This window comes from Homo sapiens, chromosome 6 (genome assembly GCF_000001405.40).
Source record: "Homo sapiens chromosome 6, GRCh38.p14 Primary Assembly".
In the NCBI taxonomy this organism is placed as follows: Eukaryota; Metazoa; Chordata; class Mammalia; order Primates; family Hominidae; genus Homo; species Homo sapiens.
The window spans coordinates 27,985,172-28,010,543 of NC_000006.12; the positions used below are offsets into that span (position 1 = coordinate 27,985,172).

The 25,372-nt window shown below is 39.7% G+C and overlaps 1 annotated feature.

Annotated features, from left to right (window-relative positions):
• Positions 23,103–23,172: an enhancer, noted in NCBI's record as "active region_24340". NCBI's record gives its function as "activates an Ori minimal core promoter by ATAC-STARR-seq in GM12878 lymphoblastoid cells {active_cell/tissue: GM12878}" and the evidence as "EXISTENCE:reporter gene assay evidence [ECO:0000049][PMID:35858748]".

Genomic DNA, 25,372 nt, shown 5'->3' on the forward strand with positions numbered 1-25,372 from the left:
AAAGTAATTCTCAGAAGATACAAGTAATATACTAGCCTGTTTATAAGTTAAAAACAAATAGAACTAAACCATGTACTTTTAGGATTACCAATATGTGTCATAAAACTAAATACAAGGGAATGATAAACATAAAATTTAGGGTAGTCATTTTTTCCAGTGAAAGAGAACAGGGATATGGAAAGGTAAGAACCCTACGTGCAGATATAAGTTACTACCAACATTCAGAATCTCTTGTCAGATGGTGGGTTCACGTGTGTTCATGACATATTTTTAAAATAACATTATTTGTATTAGTCTAAGGCTTTACACCTTTACATAGAAGAGAGACACAAGCAGCAACTTTTTGGGAAGCTGGAAACCAGGTTAGTGGATCCAATTAAGCTGAAAATAACCCAGCTGGAGAGTGGGGAAAGTGGAAGAACACAAGCAAGCTGATTTATTTTGTATAACCTTTGATAGTGGTTGGATTGTGAGGCTTTAGCGATTTCTGAATGTGAGGGTGCAAGTAAGTCTCAGGAGAGATTATTTTGAAAGTCTGTGTAAGACACAAATAAACACCCATTTCTCCCCTCACTCCACCAGCCAAGTGATCATTCTCCCCAAACTTTGGCAAAAATGTAGTCTTCTCCACTGTGAGGTTGAACAAAAAGGAAATCAGACTCTGAAATCCCAAGCTTAGTCCAGTTGAGTAATCCACTGAAAATGAGGGAATGAATGAGAGTCTAGATATTGAATTGTGAGACTCCCCTAATCCATGTTCTCCCACTGGTTTGAGACCACTATCAGACTTGTTTATGAATCCCACCAGAGTCTTTGAAAGGTTCTTCTTTGAGTAAATTGTCCATACCCTGCCCACCAAAAGGCCTATTGACACTGATGGTTACGGATCTCTGAAGAGAATGGCAAGCCAGAGCCATCTCCAGCAAAACCCAACAAGTTGCAAGTCCTGTCCACACAGCACTTGTCCCATTATCCCATCATCATATTAGTACTCCACTCTCAAAAAAATAATGGTCAGTCACAGATGAAGGAAAACCTCTGGCATAAAGGAACTGATTACCTATCTATTTAGATATGCTATCCAAATTCCTGACCAAATTGGAGCAGAAACCCTTTAATACTGTAAACAAACAATATCTTTATAAAATTTTCTGACTTAGAGGTCTAATCAACACATTGAGCTCAAAGCTAACTTTAAAATCATTGCAAATGATCAGTCCAGATGGTGCTAATTTTATATTTGATTAAAATACCTGATAGTCAAGTTGTCTAATCCTGGAACACTCCAGCTGAAGTTCTCATTTATGTACTATGATCTTTTCATGGGGTGTATTTTTCTTAGTAATGAAATGTTGGTTTGATATTCAATGAAAGATGTGAAAAATTTCTACATTGAAAACTAACAAATATGTATAAGAAAATTAAAGACAATTTAAATAAATGTAGAGATATAACATATTTTTATTAGAAGTTCTGCATTTAAGATATACATTTTTTCCAAAAATGACCTATTGATAGCATCCCAGTCTAAATCCAAGCAAGATTTTTTATAGAAATTAACAAAATGATTTCAATATTTACATGAAAATGCAACAGATTAAAGAGCCAAAATTTTTCAGAAGAAAAAGTTAATGGAACAGAATAAAACAAAATAAGTTAATGGAACAGAATAAACTCCATCAATAGATTTAAACATAAATACTCACTCCATTTCTTTAAAATGTTACTAAAGCATTTTAATGGAAAAAGAAAAATTTTGAATAAATGGAGCTGGTGTAACTGAATATCCATGTAGGGGAAGAAAATCCTACCTCACACTATTCACAAAAAATAAATTGAGATGAGTCATAAAACTAAATGTGAAAGATAAATCTACGAAGTTTTGTTCTTATTATTCATTACTGCATAACAAATCACCTCGAATTCTAGAGGTGAAAAAATTGCAACTATTTATTATGTTATGATTGCATGAGTTAGGAATTTGGACATGACACAATAAAGATGTCTCATTTCTGCTCCATGATATCTGGGGCCTCAGCTAAGATAGCTTGAAAGGCTAAAAATGGCTGTTACAGCTTATCTGGGGCCAAATGTCTGGGGCTTCATTTCTTCTCCACATAGCATCTTTTGGGAGTAAAACATCCAAGATTAGCTTTCACTTACATTTGATGCTTGATCTGAGATGCTTAGAACAGCTGGGTGCTTACTGGGACAACTCTTTCTCCACCATGGTGGTCTCAGGGGAGTTAGACTTCTAACATGATGTCTGGTTTCCTCTAGCATGAGTGTTCCTTCCAAGAAACCATGGCAGAATCTTGAAGGCTTCCTATGACCAAGGCTCCATAATTCCAGCATGTAACTTTCACTATATTCTGTCAATCAAGTGAGTCACTAAGGCCAGCCAGACCATATTCAAGGGGAAAGAAAGAATACATTCTTTCTATTATTGGGAGAATTATGTGTGCAATGACACAATCTACCACAAGCTTGGAAAAGAGAATATAGACAAAGATTTCTTAAACAGGGCACAAAAGATACTAACAATATATGGGGGAAAATGGTAAGTGAGAATGCATCAAAATTTAAAACTTTCTGTAATCAAAGACACTGCTGAGAACATCAAAGGGCAAGCCACTGAGTACTAGAGAAAATACTTATCATACATACATCTAATTTTTAAGTGACTCATATTTAGAACCTGTAAAGAACTCCAGCATAAATAAAAAAGAAAAATAGCAAAAATTTTTTAAATGGGCCAAAAATTAGAAGAACTTTTGCAAAAAGAAATCCAAGTGGCTGATAAACATATGAAAAGGTACTCAATTCAGTACTTTTTTAAAAAAATACAAATTCTAAGTACAATAAGATCTCAGTAAACAAAATGGCTAAAAATACAAAGGCTGACAATACCCAGTGGTGGTGAAAATATGGAATAACTTGAACTCTCATACATTGCAGATGGGAGTATTAAAATGGTACAACCATTTTGGAAAGCTGATCAGCAGTTCTTATAAAGTTAATCATACACTGTATCAGTTATCTATTGCCACCTTAACTAACCAGATCAAAGTTTAGTAGCATAAAACTATATATATATATATATATGTGTGTGTGTATTTTTTTTAAGATAGGGTCTCGCCATGTTGCCCAGGCTGGTTTCAAACTCCTGAGCTCAAGCAATCCACCTGCCTTGGTCTCCCAAAGTGCTGGGATTACAGGTGTGAGCCACTGTACCCAGCCTAATAATTCTTTCTTTATGATTCTCTGGGTCAGTAACTCGGTTTGAGTTTAGCCAAGTGGTTCTTCCCCTAGTCTTGCACAGAATCACTCGTGTCACCACAGTAATACAGCTCAACTGGGACCAGATTTTCTAAAATAGCTTCACTCAAATATCTGGTAAGTGTTATTGATTGAGCTGCATGTCTTCAGCAAGCTAGCCCAGGCTTCTTTACATGGCATCAGTGTTTCTAATGGGCAAGCCCCAATGTACAAGCACTTCTTAAATCTCTGCTTAGGTCATGTTTGCTAATGTCACATTGGCCAAAGATATCGATGTGGCCAATATGTGAAGGAACTATAATTCAACCTGGATTTAGGAAGGAGACCATTACTTAACAATATACCACAAATACCTACCTATAACCCAACAATTCATTTCCTAGGCATCTACCCAAAAGGAATGAGAATGAATGTGTATGTTCACAAAAAAACTTGCACTGTGTCTACTGTTGACTCTCAGATCCCCAAAAGATCACCATATAAACCTGTTGATCAAAGCTGAATTTATTGGACCTATTGCAGAAAGGGAAAATATTGTCTTAACACTGTTAATGGTGTCTCAAAATGGTAAAACTGGGGAAGAGTATTTATAAGGTTTGAGAAAAAGATAAGTGATAATAAAGTAAATTTGGCAAGACAGGGAACTTGTTAGTGTTGGGCAGTGTTTATAAGTTGATAGCTTTGGACTGGTGGGCACAGCAAAGCAAAAGTCTTGAAGAAAATCTTGACAAGTGACCTATTGGTATTTCTTGGAGCAAGCAGCTGAGTTACTATTGCTGGTCTCCATACTGTTTAAAGGAGGGATTGGGAATTGTGTCTGGTCCATTTAGTTCAGGGACAGGAAACTACGTTGGCTTTGGTTCTCACCACACAAACAGTCTGATATTCAGCCTATATTAGATAGTGATTTCTTTTCTGTGTCTGTTTTAACAGTGTCTCTTTAAATGTCATCTTTGTTTCTGAGTGTAAGAAATAATCAGTTTAGTAACTGGGAATTTTTTAAAACCCTACATTTCATATTTTGAATTCAGATTATACCTAATCACAACTCCTTTACACTTAAGTTTCAGAAATGGCAACATAATCATGCTCATGTATAACTAATAGAATTGGTCCTCAGCATACTCTTTAAAAGTATTGATCATATTAATCCTTTATAAACAGAAATAGCTGAAAATAGTGTTATTAATAACTTTTTACCCAATTGAATAAATTTTTGGGTATTTGAAAAGCTCAAGTAATTTTCATTCTTCTCATTGCCCCTAATTTTTCACTCATACCCACTCATAAATATTATCTTCCAAAGTTAAGTTGTTGGAACTTAAGTTTCCAAGGTTAAGTTGTTATTAACTCACTTTAAAAAGCCCAAATGATTTCATGATTTTCATTGTAATTATATAATTCAACAAATATTTATTAGACACCACTTAAAATATATTGGAAGGCAATTAACATATCTTCTGCTTCCTTAGAATTACTGGACTAGTGTGGGAGAAGACAATAAACAAAATTCATAGATAAAAGCACAATTTCAATTTGACATGACACCAACAATAGTGATACTTGTGAACATGTATGAGTGCCAACAACTGTTTTAAGTTCTTTATATATTATTTAATATTTATAAAAATACATGATTTAGGTCTAGTTATCATTATTTTTACAGATAAGAAAACTGTTAAAAATCTATAATCATACAACTAAGTGGCAGAGTTGGGTTTTAATCCAAGCCATCTGAATCCAGCACTGACTTTCTGTGACTTCTCTTCCTAAGTCGATAAGTGCTCAGTATAAGAACTGTAGCCACAAAATATAAGGTGTCACAGTAAGATGTAGATGTGGGCTAAGTGAGAACTTCACTATTAAGAGAATTAAGTGGTGACCTAAAGGATAAAGTGTCATTATACAGGTAAAGGAGTGGAGAGAGAATGACTTACAGTTTTAGGGAATAACAGATTTCAAGGACAGGAGGTGGGAAAAGGGTTTAAACGCCAAAGAATTTAGACAAGGACAGCATGTGGTGCAATGGGGAGACAGAAGAGACTGGAGTAGATAGGAACCAAATCACACAGGACCATGAAGGACATGTTAAATATAACAAAAGCCATTGAAATATTATATGCATAGGGATAAAGTCTTAATCTGTTCAGGTTGCTATGACAAAATACCATAGACTGGGTGGCTTGTAAACAACAGAAATTTACTTTTCACAGTTCTGGAAGCCTGAGGTGTAAGATCAGGGTGCCACCATTGTTGGGTTCTGGCGTGAGCCCTCTTCTGAGTTGCAAACTTCTGACTTCTTATGTCCTCACATGGTATGGGGGAAAGAAATTTCCCTCAGTTCACTTTTACAGGGGTATTAATCAAACTAATGAGGGCTCCACCTTGATGACCTAATCACTTCCCAAAAGTCCCATCTCCTAATACCAACACTTGGGGATTAGGATTTCAACATATGAATTTTAGGGCATACAAATATTCAATTCAGTCTATAGCAGATAACATGATAATAATGCATTTGTAAATGACACTGTAATTATAGTGTGAAGAATGGACGGTAAGGGAAAAAGAATTGATATATGGATAGAAGACTATCATAGGAAACAGAGAGATGACAGTGGTTTATATTTGTATGGTAGCAAAGAAATATAGAAGTAGAGGGATTGAACCTATTTTATAATTAGAATTGACTAAATTTGGTGATAGATTAAATGTTGAGAGTGAAGGAGAAAGAAGTGTTAAGAAATTCATCCTTCCTACATCTTTATTTCAAAATCAGATGCTGGCCAGGTGCAGTGGCTCACACCTGTAATCCTAGCACTTTGGGAGGCCAAGGCGGGTGGATCACCTGAGGTCAGGAGTTCAAGACCAGCCTGGCCAACATGATGAAACCCCAATCTCTACTAAAAGTACAAAAATTAGCCAGGCATGATGGTGGATGCCTGTCATCCCAGCTATTCAGGAGGCTGAGGCAGGAGAATCATTTGAACCCAAGAGGTGGAGGTTGCAATGAGCCAAGTTCATACCATTGCACTCCAGCCTGGGTCACAAGAGAAAAATAACTCCAGTCTCAGGAAAAAAAAAAAAAAATCAGATGCTGACAGATTGGTGGGGACCTAATAGGACCACAAGTTACGTGAACTCACCATTCAATTCCTTGTCTCTCTGTAGTTATGTGCCACTATATAATTTCTACAATTATTTTATAATTATATGCCATCCTTTGTAATATTTGTTAATCATGAACCTATATCTCCTCCTTAATCTTACTTTAATACTTGAGTGATAATTCATTCATTTTTGTCATCATGTATACTCTCATCCTAAAATTCCCAAGGTATGAAAAAAAAAAACCTTCAGGATAATTCCCTCCATGTGTTGCTAGCTATGCTGAAAACAGTTTTTCTAGATGCTACAATTGAAGAAATGTCTGTATTTGTGTTAATACAATGTAAATGTCCTAATATGCCTTATCAGTAATTTTACCTGCTATGGCTACATTGAGGTGCACTAAGAATGAATACTAGTAATTAAATTAGAAGCAAGCTGAGAAATCAGTATCATCATCATCATCATAGGTGTCATTTCATTATAGATTCAATCTTCTATGGAATCATTGTGTAAATGCTCTTGAAGATGGTAACAACTCCTCCCAAGACCAAGAAATGATTCTTTATCTTGTTTTACACTATACTAACTCCAAGTCTCAAACTTCTAGTTTATCTGTTAAGAATAAAGATATAAAGGATATTTCAAGGAGAATACTAAGATTGGCAGGGAATCTTCAAAAATGAAAGGAAACAGATGAGATTATTGGAAGCATATTAGAATTAATAATAGATTGATGCACATTTGGAGACTCTAAAATGAAAAATTCAAGTTTTTAAATAGACTATTTTTGTAGAGCTGTTTCAGATTCACTGAACTAAGAAAGTACTGAGAGTTCCCCTATTCCCCCTGTCTCTCCCACCCTCTCCATACACAAACTCCTTCACTATCAATATCCTGCACCAGAGTGGTATTTTTAATAACTTTTTTTCTAAAGAAGTTTGCAGTTCACAGCAAAATTGGGTGAAAGTTACAGAGCTCCTAAATACCCCCACCCCATACATGCATAGCTTCCTCCATTATCAACATACTCCACCAGAGTAGTCAATTTTTATAATCAATAAACTTATATTGATATATCATGATCACCCAAAGTCCGTAGTCTACATTAGGGTTCACTCTTGGTGTTGTGCATTCTATGGGTTTTGAGAAATGTATAATGGCATTTATACCCTCTTACAGTATTGTACACAATAGTTTCACTACTGTAAAAATTCTCTGTGCTCTATCTAATCATCCTTCCCTCCCACCAATCCCTGGAAACCACTGATCTTTCCACTATCTTCACCATTTTGACTCTTTCAAAATGTCAGAGAGTTAGAATCATGAAGTATGCAGCCCTTTTCAGATTGACTTCTTTCACTTAATAATATGCATTGCATTCAAGTTTCCTCCCTATTTTTAATGGCTTGATAGCTAGCTTTTTTAGCAAGAAATATTCCATTGTCTGGATATCCTACAATTTATCTGTCAAGTCATCTACTAAAAAAATTTTTGATTGTTTCCAGATTTTAGCAATTAGGAATAAATCTTCTATAAATCTGTGTGCAGATTTGTATGTAGACATGTTCTTAACTCATTTGGGTAAATACCAATGAGTGTGACTGCTGGATCACATGGTAAGCATATGTTTAGTTTTAGAAAAAACTGTCAAACAGTCTTCCAAAGTGGATGTACCATTTTGCATTTCCATCAGCACTAAATGAGAGTTACTGTTGCTCCGCATCATTGGCTTCGTTTGTGCTGTCAGTGTTTTGGATTTTAACCATTCTAATAGGTGTGTAGTTGTATCTCATTGTTTTAATTTGCAATTTTCTAATCATATATGATGTTGAGCATCTTATCACATGCTCGTTTGCCATGTATATATCTTGTATGGTGAGGTATCCATTCAGATATTTTTTTTTCTTTGAGATGAAGTCTCGCTCTGGTCCCCAGAGCACAACGGTGCGATCTTAGCTCAGTGCAACCTCCACCTCCCAGGTTCAAGCAATTCTCCTGCCTCAGCCTCCCAAATAGCTGGGATTACAGATGCGTACCACCATGCCCGGCTAATTTTTGTACTTTAAGTAGACACGGGGTTTCACCATGTTGGCCAAGCTGGTCTCAAACTCCTGACCTCAGGTGATCCACCTGCCTCGGCCTCCCAAAGTGCTGGGATTACAGGCATGAGCCACCGTGCCCAGACTGTTCAGATCATTTTTAATTGGGCTGTTCATTTTTTTATTGTTGAATTTTAAGAGTTGTGTACTTTGAATTTCCTCAAGTCCTTAATTCTTACTCAGATAATTAATCTCTGATATAATCATCCATATGTCTAAACTTTTGTGGATACTAACAATGTTATAATAAATACTCTTAATTGCTTCTTCTTATCAATATGTCTTCTGGGAATTTGGGTCTGTTTTTCATAGATATCTGCTTTATTGAAAAAAATTATATATTACGTGCAGCTTAAACTGACTAAGAAAATCACTGCTCTGCCCCAATAGGTAAAGTGAGGGGCAAAAAGAAAAAGAAATGGTAGATAAGATGACACGGAAATTCTTCCTGATCTATGTTCGTAAGTGAAAATTATCAAATTAAAGTGTACCTAATGATAATATATAAAGTAAAATGATAGCTCTTCTACAATTCCATTCTCATAGTCACCTGATTGTCTAAATCAGGGGTCCCCAACCCCTGGGCCATGGACCAGTACCAGTCCGTGGCCTGTTAGGAACTGGGCTGCACAGCAGGAGGTGAGTGGCAGGAGCTAGCATTATGGCCTGAGCTCTGCCTCCTGTCAGATCAGTGGCAGCATTAGATTCTCTTAGGAGCATGAACCCTATTATGAACTGCACATGCGAGAAATCTAGGTTGCATCCTCCTTGTGAGAATCTAACGCCTGATTATCTGAAGTGGAACAGTTTCATCCTGAAACCCCCACCAATTCGTGGAAAAAATGTCTCCACAAAACCAGTCCCTGGTGCCAAAAAGGTTTGGGATCACTGGTCTAAATGGCTTCCCTATCTGTTCAAATAGACAATTTGAGCTTAGGAAATAGCTGCATTTGGGTAACATAAGTGAGTACTTTATTTAAAAGACCATACACACATTACCCCAAACATAAAACACATGAGAGAAGGAGGCTCTGCTTTCTAATTTTTACTTTTTCTTGTTCTATAAAACTTTCTGGGAAATGTGAAGGATATCAAAATCGTACTGCATGCAGTTTCAATTGAAGCATTTGTTTACAAAAAGAATCCAGTTGTTCTAATGAAAAACATATGCTAAGTTGGATGGTGCTCTAGTAAAATAAATTAAGGAGGAATTCAATATGACCCCAAAGAAATTTGAGGAAAGTTATAAAAACATGGGAACATCTTTTGAAATGTCTTTTTAAATCACGTTGCTTTAAAATTTTTTATATTGTATAAGCTTATTTTCCCTTGTCCATGTTAGAAAAATGTTCTACTTCTCATGCCATAGGCACTTATATGGTTTCTTCTCATGTTTGAGATGTACATGCACCCACACAAATCCAAGACATCTAGAACACTCAGGCATTTGCACCCTTGTGGAAAGAGAAGCTTACTCAGCTGCAACTGAGAGTTCTATTTTCTTATAGAGGAACACATTGTTAAATTTCAAGTAAATTCTAACCCATTAGTCCTAGGAACGTATTATGACTTCAAAGAAATTAGAGGTAAGTCATAAAAACATGGGAACATCTTTTTAAATGTGGCTTTTTAAAGCAAGTTGCTTTCTTTTTTACTGGAAAGTAAAAAAGAGAAACAGGGATTCCTTGAGCAAACCTGTATGTCACCTGTCATATCTGGAGAAGGCTCTCTAGAGCTCAAGCTGCCTAGATACGTTGTTGTGAAAAAGAAAAGAATGCCTTCCCTCAATTATAGACTTCTTACTTACAAATAAAATGGATATCTTTGAAATACTTTGTCTGAAACAGTTAAAGGCAGTTTAGACCATGATAAGTCATCTTAGCCAGTTTGGGCTGATACAACAAAATACCACAGACTGGGTAGTACAAACAACAGAAATTAGTTCTCACAGTTCTGGAGTCTGGGAAGTCTGAGATGCAGGTGCCAGCACAGTTGGGTTGTGGTGAGGGCCCTCTTCTAGATTTACAGACAACTGTCTTCTTGTTGTATCCTCACATGGTGGAGAACAGAAAGGATGAGCAACATGTCATTTCTGTTCTTATAAAGGCACAAATCCCATTCATGACTGCTCCACAATCATGATATAATTACCTCGTAAAGTCCCCATCTCCTAATATCATCACATTGGGGGTAAGGATTTCAACTCGTAAATTTTGTCATTTATGCTTGACTAAATGACAAGCATTTAGTCCATAGCATAAGTTAAAGATGTATATATGTGGAAGTAAAATATAAAACAATAATTTTTACATTTCATCTAGCATAACAGGTAGATGAAATTGTATTGTTTTAAGTTAGACTGTGATAAGTTAAAGATGTATATTGTAAAATAAAAAGTGAAACAAAGAGGGTAGAGCTAATAAGACTAAAAGAAGATAAAATAGAATCATAAAATATTCATTAATACAAAAGGAGGCAGGAAAAGAGAACAAAAAATAGATGAAAAATAGGAAATAACAACTAAGATGATAGATTCAAATGCAAGCATATTGATAATTATATTAAATTTAAATGAAGAAATATCACAAAGCAACAACCTCAACTTCCACTTTAAGAAACTAGAAAAGGGCTGGGCATGGTGTCTCACACCTGAAATCCCAGCAGTTTGGGAGGCCGAGGTGGGTGGATCACTTGAGGTCAGGAGTTTGAGACCAACCTGGCCAACGTAGTGAAACCCTGTCTCTCCTAAAAATACAAAATTAAGCCAGGTGTGGTGGCTGGTGCCTGTAATCCCCGTTATTCAGGAGGCTGAGGCAGAAGAATTGCTTGAACCTGGGAGGCAGAGGTTGCCATGAGCCAAGATCACACCAGGGTACTCCAGCCTGGGTGACAGAGTGAGACTCCGTCTCAAAACAAGAAAGAAAATAAAAGAAAAACAAAACTAGAAAAGAAGAGCAAACAGAAACCTAAAATGAACACAGCAAAAGAAATAACAAAAAGTAATCAGTTAGAAAACAAACAAACATAAAACAAAAAAGAAAACCAATAAAACCAAAAGCAGTTTCTACCTAGAATAGTCAGGAAGAAAAGATACAAATTACCAATATCAGGAATGGAAGAAGTGATGTCACTACAGATGCCACAGATACTAAAAGGATAATAAAATAATCGTATTAAATAAAGTTATTACAAATTATGCCAATGAATTCAACAACCTATGGAATGGGAAAATTTCATGAAATGTACATAATACCAAAGGCTTATTCAAGAAGAAATTGAAAATCTGAATACCAGTTAAGGAACCTGAATTTGAAATTAAAAACTTTCCCACAAAGAAAACTCCAGGACCAGATAGTCTCACCGGTGAATTCTACTACATGTTTAAGTAAAGAGTAATATCAATTCTATATAAACTCTTCCAGGAAGTGAAGCAGATTAAATACTTCCAAATGCATCCTTTGAGGCCAACACTATTCTGATAGAACCAGACAAAGTCCCTGGAAGAAAATTAAACTACAGACTAATATAACTCATGAACATAGATACAAGAATTTTTAGCAAAATTTTAGCAAATTTAATCCCATAATAAAAAGAATAATACAATCTGACCAGGTAGCATTTATCATAGGAATGAAAGGTGGGTTTACATTTAAAAACCAACCAATCTAATTTACTAGATTAACAGATTAAAAAATTAACTATATGATCATCTCAATAGAAGCAAAAATGCATTTCACAAAATTCAACATCCATCTACGATCAAATTATGAATAAAAATGTACTTCCTCAACCTGGAAAAAAAATTTCTAAACAAAACCACAGCTATGCTTTTCTCCTGGAATCAGAAAAAAAGCAATTATGTTTACTCTTGCCACTATAATTCAACATTGTACTAGAAGTTCTAGCTAGTCTAGTAGGAAAGAAAATAAAATAAAAAGCATTCATATTAAAAAGAAAAACTCTTTTTATTCATTGACCACATTATCATTTACAGAAAATTTGATAGAATCTACAACAAAAGCTATTAGATTAAAAGATGACTTTAGAAAGGGTTGAAGGTTACACGATCATTATAAAAGTTATATTGCAGGTCGGGCATGGTGGCTCATGCTTGTAATACCAGCACTTTGGGAGGCCAAGGGGGGCAGATGACCCAAAGTCAGGAGTTAAAGACCAGCCTGGCCAACATAGTGAAACCCCATCTATACTAAAAATATAAAAATTAGCCTGGCATGATGATGGGCACCGGTAATCCCAGCTACTTGGGAGGCTGAGGCAGGAGAATCTCTTGAATACAGGAAACAGAGGCTGCCATGAGCCAAGATCACGCCACTGCACTCCAGCTTGAGTGACAGAGTGAGACTCTGTCTCAAAAAAAAAAAAAGTTACCTAGGCACAGTTAAAACCTCTACTTGCATTGAATCTACTACAATTCCATTAGCTAAAGCAAGTTACATGATCAAGTCCAACATCAATGTGGCAGGGAAACAACCTCCCCCACTTCTAGTGAATTGCAAGGTCAAATGAAAAAAAGAAAACGAATTTGTCAGTCTTTCATTTTGTCACAGTTATTCTCAGTTCTCTCATGTGCAGACACTAACCTCCATGCCCAAATCCCCCAAATTCTGTATCTCATGTACCCTATAAATATATACACCTACTGAAATGGGAAAAGTTCTCTTGCCCCCTCACAGGGTGTGTGACAGGGGAAGTGGCTCACTTCTTCAGTGTCCTGCTGCTCAAACCTCTAGGGGAGCATACAGATGGGCAGGCTGTGGGGCTCCACTCCACGGCAGTGTCTAGGGGTGAATGTTTACAGCTCCTGAAGCACCAGTGGGCATGTGTTAGGATGCTCTTTTGCTTTTGCTCTTTTAGTTTAGCCATCTGTAGGTGGCTTGAGTTAGCTCAGTTAGACCCCCTTCCTTATCACAAGGACAGAGGGCTTTCTGTATTCCAGGTTCTTGCCTTGGTGTACCAGAAGAATCAGGCTTGGAGAATGAGTGCAAGGTTTTATTGAGTAGAAGTATCTCTCAGCAGATGGGGGAGCCAGAAGGGAGATGCGTTTTCCTCTGGAGTCGGGCCACTCAGTGACCAGATTCTTCTCCCACCCCTCCGGCCAAACTCTGCATCGTTCCACCAGTTGATGACCTCTCTATGATCAGCTGCTTGTGTCTTCTGCCAATGTGTTCCCCATGACGTCCAGCCGCTTTTGTACCTACCTTGCTAGGGTCTTGGGTTTTTATAGGCACAGGATGGGGGCGTGGCAGGCCAAGGTGGTCTTGGGAAATGCAACATTTGGGCAGGAAATGCCTGTCTTCATCTAGATCTGTGAGGGTAGAGCCCTAGCCAGGGACCACACTCTCCTCTACCCAGCACTTCCCTTCCTCTCTTCCATATCATTTAAAGGGACCTCACTCTTCCCTTCCCAGCACTTCTGTATCACTACTTTGTAGTCACAAAGATTAAACATTTTTTAAAAATAAAATCTATAAAATCCCCAAACTTCCCATCCTTTGTAATGACAGCAAGTGTCATTACTATTGAGGACATCTGAAGTAAAGGATCTCCTAATCTACATCAGATCTAGATGCATTTTCATTAATAAAGAGTCCTATGAACTCTAAAAAGACTGTTCTCCAAATACCCACTATAACAACAGCGAAACAAAGACAAGGATACTTTCATTAATACTTGCACATGTTTAGGGCAATTCTCAAATCACTCCAGGCAAATATTTCCAAATCTCCCCACTTTGGGTAGGGATTTTTCCTTGATTCCATCTTTGTTTTGCACTCTGGGAGTATCACTCTGGTCCACTTTTCTAATCAGTTCTTGGCAATGCCCTTTTCAAGTTGTTTTCTTTTCTACTATTCTACTTGGCTATACTTGTAGATGGCATGGGTGAATATACCCTGACTTCTGGGTATATTATTTCCTGTCTGCAGAAAGGTAGGTTCACAGAAGTTTTTAAAATACATACATCAAATATTCATAGTCTCTTTTACTCCAAGTTGGTAGAGAGTTTGCCAGTAGAGTGCTCTCATAAACTTTGTGGAACTTTTATTACATAAATCTAGCCAATGCCAAGAGCCACAGGCTACACCTACAGTTCTTTTTGAGATATTTCTCTTTTTATTATAGGTACTTCATGTTTATGAGGCTTCTGTGAGACTATACTCTTAGTCTTTCTGTAAGCCATTATGTCTACATGAAAAGTAAGCATCATCTCAGTCCCTTCAGAAAACCTAATATAGAGGGTAACATCTTTGTTTCTTTTTTGTCCTGGGGCTGTTTCTTAATGTCGTTACTCTGACTTTGATGCTTGCCTTGAGGCAAGTCCTTTACATGATGATAAACAGCTTCGTTTTCCAATCATGCAAATCCTATAGTTTCTGAGCTTTTTATATTCCCTCTAATTTCTATTTGTGAATCAGCTAGTGCTTTTCTAAGCATATTTGTTTCTCATAGCAGCTTATTAAATATAGCTAGCAACAACCCAGTCACGTTATCAACATTCTGTTTTAAAATATCCTGACTTGACTTTTGGATTCTGATTGGAGACTTAAAGAGCTAGAAAGATCATCACTCTCAATTTCATAAGGAAAAAAAAAAAACACATCTGGATGAAGAGCAAATTCAAAACTTTCCTTGAACCCCTCAGGCCTGCAGGGAGAAATGAGGCAGGAGCACTGATTCATCTTGGAAAGATGCAACATGACACTGATAAGAAAAGTTCAGCTAGGCTGATTGGTGAGTTGGTGGAGGTTAGGTGTGTGTGCACTGTCAAGACAGCATGAAGCTCCCGTGTTGCCAGAGGGCTTAGGTGGGTCTCCAGATGCTGGTGAGACCCAGTAAGGAACATGGCTGTGCTTTGGTCAAGAATAGGCCAAGTTAGGATGTTTACATCCTGCGTGACTCAGCGAGTTCAGAGCACAGGCCTATAACTCCACTTGTTATCACAGCCATGTAGCCATAACATGGGAAGGCCATCACTTGGCTCTATGCCATTATTGCCTGTGAAAGGTATAATTGCCTCGTTGACACTGTGCAGGCGTGTGGGTGCCCAGAGAAAGAGAGAGAGAGTCAGAACTGTCCGTCTTTGCAGACAGACAGAGGGGAGCCAGGACACAGCTTGGCTTGTTCGTGCCCAGAGAGAGAGTTAAGCGGCTGATTCTCAAGGCAGGGGTGAGCAGGCCGCGCAGCTGTATGTGGGAGCTGCCAACTCAAACAGTCCACAGGGTGGACAGTGTGAGAAAGCTATTGATGAGAGCTTCTGCTGAATAAAATCACCTTCACCTGCCTACCGCCCCCAGAGCGTTCTTTCTGCTCATCCACCCACTCCCTCGGACTTCAGCATGGGTTGGACCCGGACCCCGGGATCTGACAATTAGCGATGAGGATGGGATGAGGTGAGTGGGTCTCTAGCCCCTGAGGCTCCCGGGTCGACTATGTGGCTGCAGCAGGGGCTGTGGTGCCCAGTGGCAGCGGTGTTGCTTGGATGGGCCCTAAAGGGAACGTGGGAGGCACGGGACGGGTCTCCCGTGAGCATGGAGAAGGCGCTGAAGCACCTGGTAGTGCACAGCACCAAGAAGAAGCATGCCTTTACCGGCAGAATCAGATGGGCGTTTGTGACTCTGCTGCGGGCAGTGCATGCCCAGTCCTTTTGAGACGCAGCGCAGGGAGGAAGAAGAACCTCTATTGCAGGCTCGCGTAGAGCATGAGCAGCTGTTGGGCCCCAAGGGTGGGCCCAGAGACCCCCTACTGTGGTGGAGGACACTTCCTATGGTGCCTGTACCCCTGCTGAGTTGCGGGAGTTAAGTAAGTAATGTCGGCAGTCATGTACAGACTTCGTGCAAGTCATCTGGGAGAAAGATGTTGCTGCGCAACCCAATCTGACCCGAGCATTCCAGGTCAAAGAGTACCTGCCGCAGTCGTCGGAAGTGAAAAGCCTTTTCTGTTTGATAAGAGACTGGCCGAGGGGTCTGGCTTGGTGGAAGGGGGCCGGGGGTCGGGCACGGGCACCGGACAACCAAAGGCCATCTGTGAACTTGGCAATCCACTGGTCACTGAACCCAGATAAGTTTCTGGGCAGAGCTGCATTTATTAATGGCTATGAAGACTGGTCAGTGAAAGTGAAGCTTGTGTCTTTGCATCTTGGAATTGTCAGCCTGGCTCTCTGCTTACGCACTGTGTGTGTCTCTCCCATGCCTGAGGACATTCTAGGGGTGGACGTTTTGCACGGCTTGGCAGCTGTGCTGTCTGTCACAGACTTAATGGACCATTTGACAACGGAACTGGGACGGTCCACAGGGAGCCAGGAATAGTTTTGCCCTCATGGGAAGGATGACAATGGAATTTCACCATGCTGCCACAGGGCTATTTGCATAGCCCATTTTATGTCATAGTCTTGTAATGTTATGTTAACCTGTAATTCTCTTGCAGGATTAAAAGTGGCAGTGCCCCTTTTTCCTGGGATTGGGATGATGAGGCTGAGACAGCCCTTATAGGTAGTAAACCAAGGGTGCCCATTTACACTAGAGTTACATGTAACCACAGATAGTTTCAGCAAGGGCCTATAGCAGTGCATAGAGTGCTTGAAAACACCAGTAAGCTTTTAGTCCCAATTGTGGAAGGGAGCTGAGCTCCTGTGTTTACTCATACAGGAGCAGTTAGTCATAGTAGGATGGGTGCGTTCATGGATAACCACCCCTTGGATAGGGAAAGCAGTTGGTAACTGCATATGCTGCCCTTCAGGCTCATGAGAGCATAGTAGGATGGATTACGGTCTTCATGCAGATGATTTACCCAGTAGCGGGATGGGTGCATTCATGTGTAACAGTCCCCACCCTGGACAGGGACGGCACAGACATCCACTTTAGTGAAGTGGAGCGCCTATTTAGAACAGTGAAGTACACTGAGTACAAGTCCCTTAGCAGCAGAGTTACAAGAGATCTTAGGGCCTATACTCTTAATACAAGATAAGGCCATGGGGCCTGAGGCACCCCTAGACCCTGAGACTTCACCGTTAGGAAGGGCATCCCCCCATTCCTAATAGGGCATTGTACACAGCTAGGTCTAGCTGGGTGCTACTGATGCCTGGACCGCTGGTGCAGTCCAGTCTAGTTTGAAACCAGATGTGGGCAAAGGTTTGAAACCAGGTGTGGGCAAAGTAGCTAATGAGCTCAACTCAGGGAAGTGTGAATAATAATCACCAAGAGGGTGACACCTATGGTAATCTGCGCCAATAGCTGAGCAGTTTATCGAGAATTATATATATTGGGCCTGCGTGCCCAAAGCCTATGTGTCAGGCCTGTGTGCCCAAAGCATGTGTGTCAAACCTGTGTATCAAATCTGTGCATCCAAAATCTATGTCTCCCTTTGCCTTGGGGCTGGAGTGTAAGGAATATGGCTGTGCTTTGGTCAAAGATAGGCCGAGGTAGGATATTTACATCCTGCATGACTCAGTGAGTTTAGAGCACAGGTGTATAACTCCACTTGTTATCATAGCCATGTAACCATAACATGGGAAGGCCATCACTTGGCTCTACACCACTATTGTCTATAAAACGTATAATTGCCCTGTTGACACTGTGCAGGTGCGTGGGTGCTCAGAGAAAGAGAGAGTCAGAGCTGTCCCTCTTTGCAGACGGAGAGAGAGGAGCCAGGACAGAGCTCGGCTCACTTGTGCTCAGAGAGAGAGTCAAGCTGCTGACCCTGAAGGCAGGGGAGAGCAGGCCACCCAGCCAGCTGTATGTGGGAGCTGCTGGCTCAAGCAGTGGAGACAGGGCAGACAGTGTGAGAAAGCTGTTGATGAGAGTTGAATAAAACCACATTCACCTGCCTATGGCCCCGCCCCAGTGTCCTTTCTGCTCATCCACCCACTCCCTTGGACTTCAGCATAGGCTGGACCCAGACCCCGGGGTCTGATAGACCCCCAGCCCTAGACAGTGTTCCAAGTCCTTGACTCCAATGCAAGAAAAATTCAGGGACAAGCCAGAATGAAGTGAAAGGCAAGAAGCTCTTACTGCAAAGCAAAGGACACACTGTAGCAGAGTGCGTACAAGAGAGTGAGTCATGTACAACAGAGTTTGGGTTTCTAATTTTATGGGGTCTTCTAACTGGGAGGTGGAATAATCATGAGGTCACCTAGGAAAAAGGTGGAGATTTCTTAGAATTGAGGTGCCACCCATTGTTATGCTAAATATGGGCATGCTCCAACCTGTCAGGATGCCAGTGAGTGTGTGATGTCGTATGGTAATAAACATACAATTAGATCTGGGGGTAGGGCATGGGTGAAATCCAGCAAGTGTTGACCCTGCTGGTTTCAAGCAGCTTAGCCCCCATCCTGTTTGTTAGGGTCTTATCAGCCAAGACTCGTCCATGTCCTTATCCTTGTAGCTAATTTGAACAGCCCCTTTCTTGCTGTTATGTGAAATTACTACTTGATATTTTCCTGCTTCCCCTGTGACCATCCAGCATTGCTATTCCACCACCCAAGGTTTTGGCTCTTTTCTCTCCTCATTTGGGGTTTTCTGTTATCCTGTAGTTTCTTTGCCTAGTTCTTGTTTTAGCAGTTGTTCAGGTTTTTCCATCCTCCTGCAACCACCCAGTGCTATTCCTGTCTCACCTGGAGGCAGTAAATAGGGAGAGTCCGAGTACTCTTGTAACCAAGCAACTTGGCTTCAAACCACATTTTAAAACTTTGTTTTCTTTCCTCCTTTCTCCCCAATCTCAAGATATTACTTTAAGACAAGCTGCGTACGTGTTACCTTCCATCTTGAAATACAGCCTCAGAATGTGCTGTGAACCTCCACTCCCTTTCTTCTCCCATTCTGTGCTCCCATGCCTTATGCACATTTATTTACCTAGCTGTAGGTTAAGCACACACCATGCTCACTTATCTGGTCATATATTTCCTTCAAAGCTTAAGGAAATATATTACCTTTAGGGTCGGATCCTGATATGGACCAGGCACTTCCGGAATTCTCTCTCCAACAAAAGATTACTTCAAGGCCAGAATTCACTCCTGGCTGAAGATTGACTACAAGACTAACTGCAATTAATTTATAACCTGCCAGTTATAAATAGAATCCACGATGGTACCAGCCCCTTCACCAGATGGAACAATAATTCAAGATAAGCCATCAGAGCAAGTCATGTCATGGGGCACCTCCTAGTGAAACTGCCACTGCAAAATTGTAACAGACAGTGAAAGAGATCTGGCCTAACTAACTCTATCTTGCTTCTAACCTCCAAGCTGTTCTTGTTTATTCCTGGGCATAGGCTGAACTAACTGGGAGGAACTTAGTTTATAGTTTAACACAGAGACAATAACAGCCTTTTCACAAAACAAACCTCCTTCTTGCCTGGGGACTAAACTGACTTTGTAGGACTAACAAATTAGCCACAAGATTAGAAATATGGTTTAGAGTCATGCAGCTGGAGACTACAAGATTCTAACCCTCCCTAAACTGCTCCTGAGATCAGTGCTTGAGATATTTTACAGACCCTGCAGTTGATGGATCAGCTGGCACCACCCAGATGGATAAACTGGCTCATGTGATCTTGTGGCCCCCACCCAGGAACTGACTCAGTGCAAGAGGACAACTTCAATTACCTATGATTTCATCTCGGACCCAACCAATCAGCACTCTTGACTCACTGGCCTCCCCTACCCACCAAATTATCCTTAAAAACTCTGCTCAAATCAGTCAGGGAGACTGATTTGAGTAACAATAAAACAACGGTCTTCCGCACAGCTGGCTCCAAATGAATTACTCTTTTTGTATTGCAGTTCCCCTGTCTTGATAAATCGGCTCTGTCTAGGCAGTGGGCATGGTGAACCCACTGAGTAGTTACACTAGCCCCCTGTGTCTTCTGCATTCCAAACCCTTTCTTTAAAATCCCCTGCAATCCCTCCAAAAATCAAAGAGTAGAATTTTTTTCCTGTCCTTCCCCTTGCTGGCACAGATAATAAAGTCTTGCTTCTTCTTTATCATATTTCGTTATTTTGGCTTGTTTCTGCAAGTGGCAAGCAGCCAGACCCTTTTGCTGGTTATGCTCTAACAGACATTTTCTCCACAAACTCCATCAGGCTCATAATAAAGATTGGGACAGTTCAGAGACAGGAAGACAAGCTGCTGTAGAAGGAAGAAACTCCACATGGTCCCCTCTCAACTCTCATACAGAATAAATGAGCCTTAAATTGTGGGAGAGGGCCAAACAAACACTGTCACCCTTAAGGCATTGGTGAATGCAACTCTCCTCACCTCATAAACATTGCAAATATAAAAAATATAATAAGGGAATGCTATGAATGCCTGTATGTCCATTGTATTGGTTTCCTACTAACAAATTATCACTGGGTAGTTTAAAACAGGATAAATATATTCTCTCACAGATCTGGAGACAAAAAGTCTAAAGTCAAGGTTTCAGCAGGGCCAGGCTCCCTCCTAGCTATAGGGAAGAATCCTTCCTCGCCTCTTCAAGGTACTAACAGTTGCTAGCAATTCTTGGCATTCCTTGGCTTGTAGTGGTGCACTGCTATCGATCTCTGCCTCCATGTTTACACAACATTCTCCATCCGTTTGTGTCTTTGTCTCTGTTTTCTCTTCTTATATGGGCACCAGTTTTTTTTTTTATTAGGGCTCACCTTAATCCAATACAAACTCATTTTAACTTAACTAATTACATCTGCAAGTACTCTGTTTTCAAGTAAGGTCATTTGAAGGTTCTAAGTGAACATAAAATTTTAGGAAATACTATGCAACTCAGTACAACCATAAATTTGGCAGCTTAAATGAAACAGACCAATCACTTTAAAGAAACAAATGACCAAAGGTCAATCAAGAAAAAATAAAAAGCGTTAGTACTCATATTTATAAAGAAATTGAGTTTGTTTTTAAAACTTCCAAACCAAAAAATAAAACTCTGAGCCAGATGGTTTCCCTGGCACATTCTATCAAACATTTAAGAAAGAGATAATACCTATTCTACAAAATCTTTCCCAGAAAATAAAAGAAAGACTTCCAAACTTGTTTTATGAAGTCAGGATTACCCTAATCACAAAGTGAGACAAGGGCGTAAAGGAAAGTACAGACCAATATTCTTATGAACACAGATGTAAAAATTTTCAAGAAAATATTAGCAGTGGCTCAGGCCTGTAATCCCAGCACTTTGGGAGGACGAGGTGGGCGGATCACGAGGTCAAGAGATTGAGACCATCCTGGCCAACATGGTGAAACCCCGTCTCTACTAAAAATACAAAAATTAGGTGGGTGTGGTGGCATACACACCCAGTAGCTGTAGTCCCAGCTACTCAGGAGGCTGAGACAAGAGAATTGCTTGAACCTGGGAGGCGGAGGTTGCAGTGAGCTGACATCGCTCCATTGCACTCCAGCCTGAGTGACAGAGCGAGACTCCGTCTCAAGAAAAGAAAAAAGAGTAAAGAAAAGAAAAGAAAATATTAGCAAATTGAATTCAGCAATATATAAAAAGATATGTCACAACCAAGTTTGATTTACCCCAAGAATGTAAAGTGGTTTCAACATTCAAAAGTCAGTGCAATTTGCCATATGAACAAATGCAAAGAAAAAACTCTATGACTGTCTCAATAGATGCAGAAAAAGCACTTTTTTTTTTTCTGAGATGGAGTTTTGCTCTTGTTGCCCAGGCCAGAGTGCAGTGGCATGATCTCAGCTCACTGCAACCTCTGCATCCTGGGTTCAAGTGATTCTCCTGCCTCAGCCTCCTGAGACTGAAAAAGGACGTTAGCTAAAGACTAAGGAAATGTGAATAAAATACAGACTTTAGTTTATAATAATTACTTGTATTGGTTTGTTAATTATGCTAACTGTACCATAATGATGTAAGATGTTAATAATAGGAGAAACTGGATGTGGGCAATATGGGAACTCTTGGTACCACTTTTACAATTTTTCTATAAATTTAAAACTATTTAACATTTAAAAGATTATTAAAAGGTTTTTGAGTTTATTAAAGTGTCCTATAATAATTACTTTTTTCTTTTGAGACAGTCTTGCTGTGTTGCCCAGGCTGGAGTGGAGTGGCCTGATCTTGACTCACTGCAACCTCTGCCTCCTGGGGTGAGTTCAAGTAATTCTCATGCCTCAGCCTCCTGAGTAGCTGGGATTACAGACATGCACCACCACACCCAGCTAATTTTTTGTATTTTTAGTAGAGATGGGTTTTTGCCATGTTGGCCAGGCTGATATTGAACTCCTGGCCTCAAGTGATCTGCCTGCCTTGCCCTCCCAAAGTGCTGGGATCACAGAAGTGAACCACCGCACCCAGCTGAAATGTCCTACAATGATTTTTTATTTAATTTTCCATTTATAGTTTAAAATTAGCTTGTCGAGCTTATTTTAAAATCCTATGGTGATGTTTTATTGGGATGGAAATAAATTTAGAAATTCATTTGAAAGAAATTAAACTCTGAAACTTTTCTTCCAAGAATATATTTCTGTAGTACTCAGGCCTTTGCTAAAGTTGATATTTTTCTGTATTACTTTTACTTTTCTTAATAGAACTTCCTTTTTCAGTTTCTAATCGTTATTTCTGTTGTATTTTTTTCTTTCTATTTTAGTCCTGAGGTCTCTCTCAAGAGAGTGGCTATAAACTCTAGCTCTGCCCTGACAGAGATCCAGGGAGTTTGGTCATAGATGTTTACAATGTGCCTTTCATGGGATACTTCTTTATTCTGGTGGACAGCCTAATGCCTATGTATTTGACCCATGACCACGTGTCCCTCTTACAGGACACTTGTTTATACCGGCAGAGACTCTATGGCTCTTATCTAACCTGTGTCCAGTTTATTTCAACCAAGAGACCCTCTCTCTAGGAGAGCTCTGGCTGAGTAAGAAGTTAAGTTCAGGTGTGTTGGTCAGGTAAGACACAGCAAAGGCAACTCAACAAAACATATAAAACAAAAGAAGCATTTTATTACTTACAGATCCCAGAGAGGAAAGGGCAGCATGCCTCACAGGACCAACAGAAAGCGGGCCATCCAGTAGGTGAGAAGCAAGAGAGAGTGAGAAATCTGTGGGCTGAAGACTTCAATGGGGTCCAGAGTATTACCCAAACAGATTTCCTGTGGGGAGTTCTAATTGGTGGGTTTGGAGCAAGCACACATGAGCTCCATCAAGAGGTAAATGAGAATTGGTCAATGCAGAAAGTCTGAGTAGTCCATGTGGGGCGTGGGTGGTGATCAGTGGGTCAAGTCAAGTTGGTTGAATCTTGCTATCCAATACAGAGGTGGTCACCAGGATGTGATTATATATGACAGATTTCTGGATCAGCCACATTGAAGAACTAGGAGGAGATGGAGAACTGAAAAATGTGCAAGATTGATTAAGCCCTGCTTTTGGTATGAGAAAGTTAAACCTATATTTAGAATGGATGTCAAGACAACATAAAATTATAAGAATTCACCATATCTGGTATACAGCAACAAAAAGGTTTGTTACTTATTTTGTGTGTTGGTTTATTTACTTTAGCAAATGCTCATTAGTTCTAATAGTTTGCTTGATAAACTTTTAGGATTCTTTAGATACATCATCATAACATTTTTTAAGTCAGTGTTTTTATTATCTCAAGTATTTCTTACTGATTTCTTCTTCGCTTATCTTTTTTCATACCTGCGAAGCACACATGAGACTGAAGTATTAGCCAGCTTATTGAAACCTTATTGAAAAACAAGAGACACACCTGAGGATGAAAGCATGATCCACAGATAAAGGGGCAGAAATGTAGACAAAGTTTGGGTTCTGTGGTAACATTGGTTTTTTTGTTTGTTTGTTTTTGTAAGACAGAGTCTCACTCTGTTGCCTAGGCTGGAGTGCAGTGGCACGATCTCAGTTCACTGCAACCCCTGCCTCCCAAGTTCAAGCGATTCTCCTGCTTCAGCCTCCCAGGTAGCTGGGATTACAGGCACATGCCACCATGCTGGGCTAATTTTTGTATTTTTTGTAGAGATGGGGTTTCACCATGTTGGTCAGGCTGGTCTCGAACTCCTGACCTCAAGTGATCAACCCACCTTGGCCTCCCAAAGTTCTGGGGTCACAGGGGTGAGCCACCATGCCTGGCCAGAGATAACATTGTTGACCCCTCAACCTGGACTACTTCTTTGCACATGAGACAAACATCTAATTGTTTAAGTCACTCTACATGGGTTTTCTTGTACCTTGCCTCTGAGTATGTTCCTACCTCAAAGACCTTATACTCATAGTACTAATCATTAGTGAATGTTAAATTTAATAGAATGCTTTTTGGTATCTACTTGTTCACTTTATATCCTTTTAAATCTTTTTAAATTATATGCCAAGTGTGTATGTACTTATGTACAGAGAGGAGGTAAAAGATAGATGTCAAATCTGTCTATATTTATGTGAAGTATTTTTTTGGTGAGAAATATCTGTCCTATGATTTTTTTTCTCACTTTAAGCTGTGAACATGGTCCTCAAACTTTCAATCTTGCTCCTTCCAGGCCCACGATAAACCAGCCAAACCCATTTACCACTGCCCAGGATCATATGTATATACTTACTATATACCTAAAGGTGATGACTAGAAGGGCTGACTGAAAGTCTGCCTTCTGAGAGTATTTCTTCTCACTGTCTTTCTGGGATGCCCTTGAGTGGAGATATATATCAGCACCATTCCATTTTTGGCTCTCACCAACATAGCAAGCTTAGTCATCTGTTAACCATGCCAGTGTTTTTCTTCCTATTTCAGGTGGTCCTAGCGAATCTCCCGTAAGTTTATTGGTGTAAGCTGACAGAGAGGCATTGGTGAATGAAAAGTAAATGACATAGGAATCTGGACCACCTATTTGCCCCAGACCACTGGACTCTTAAAAATGTTAT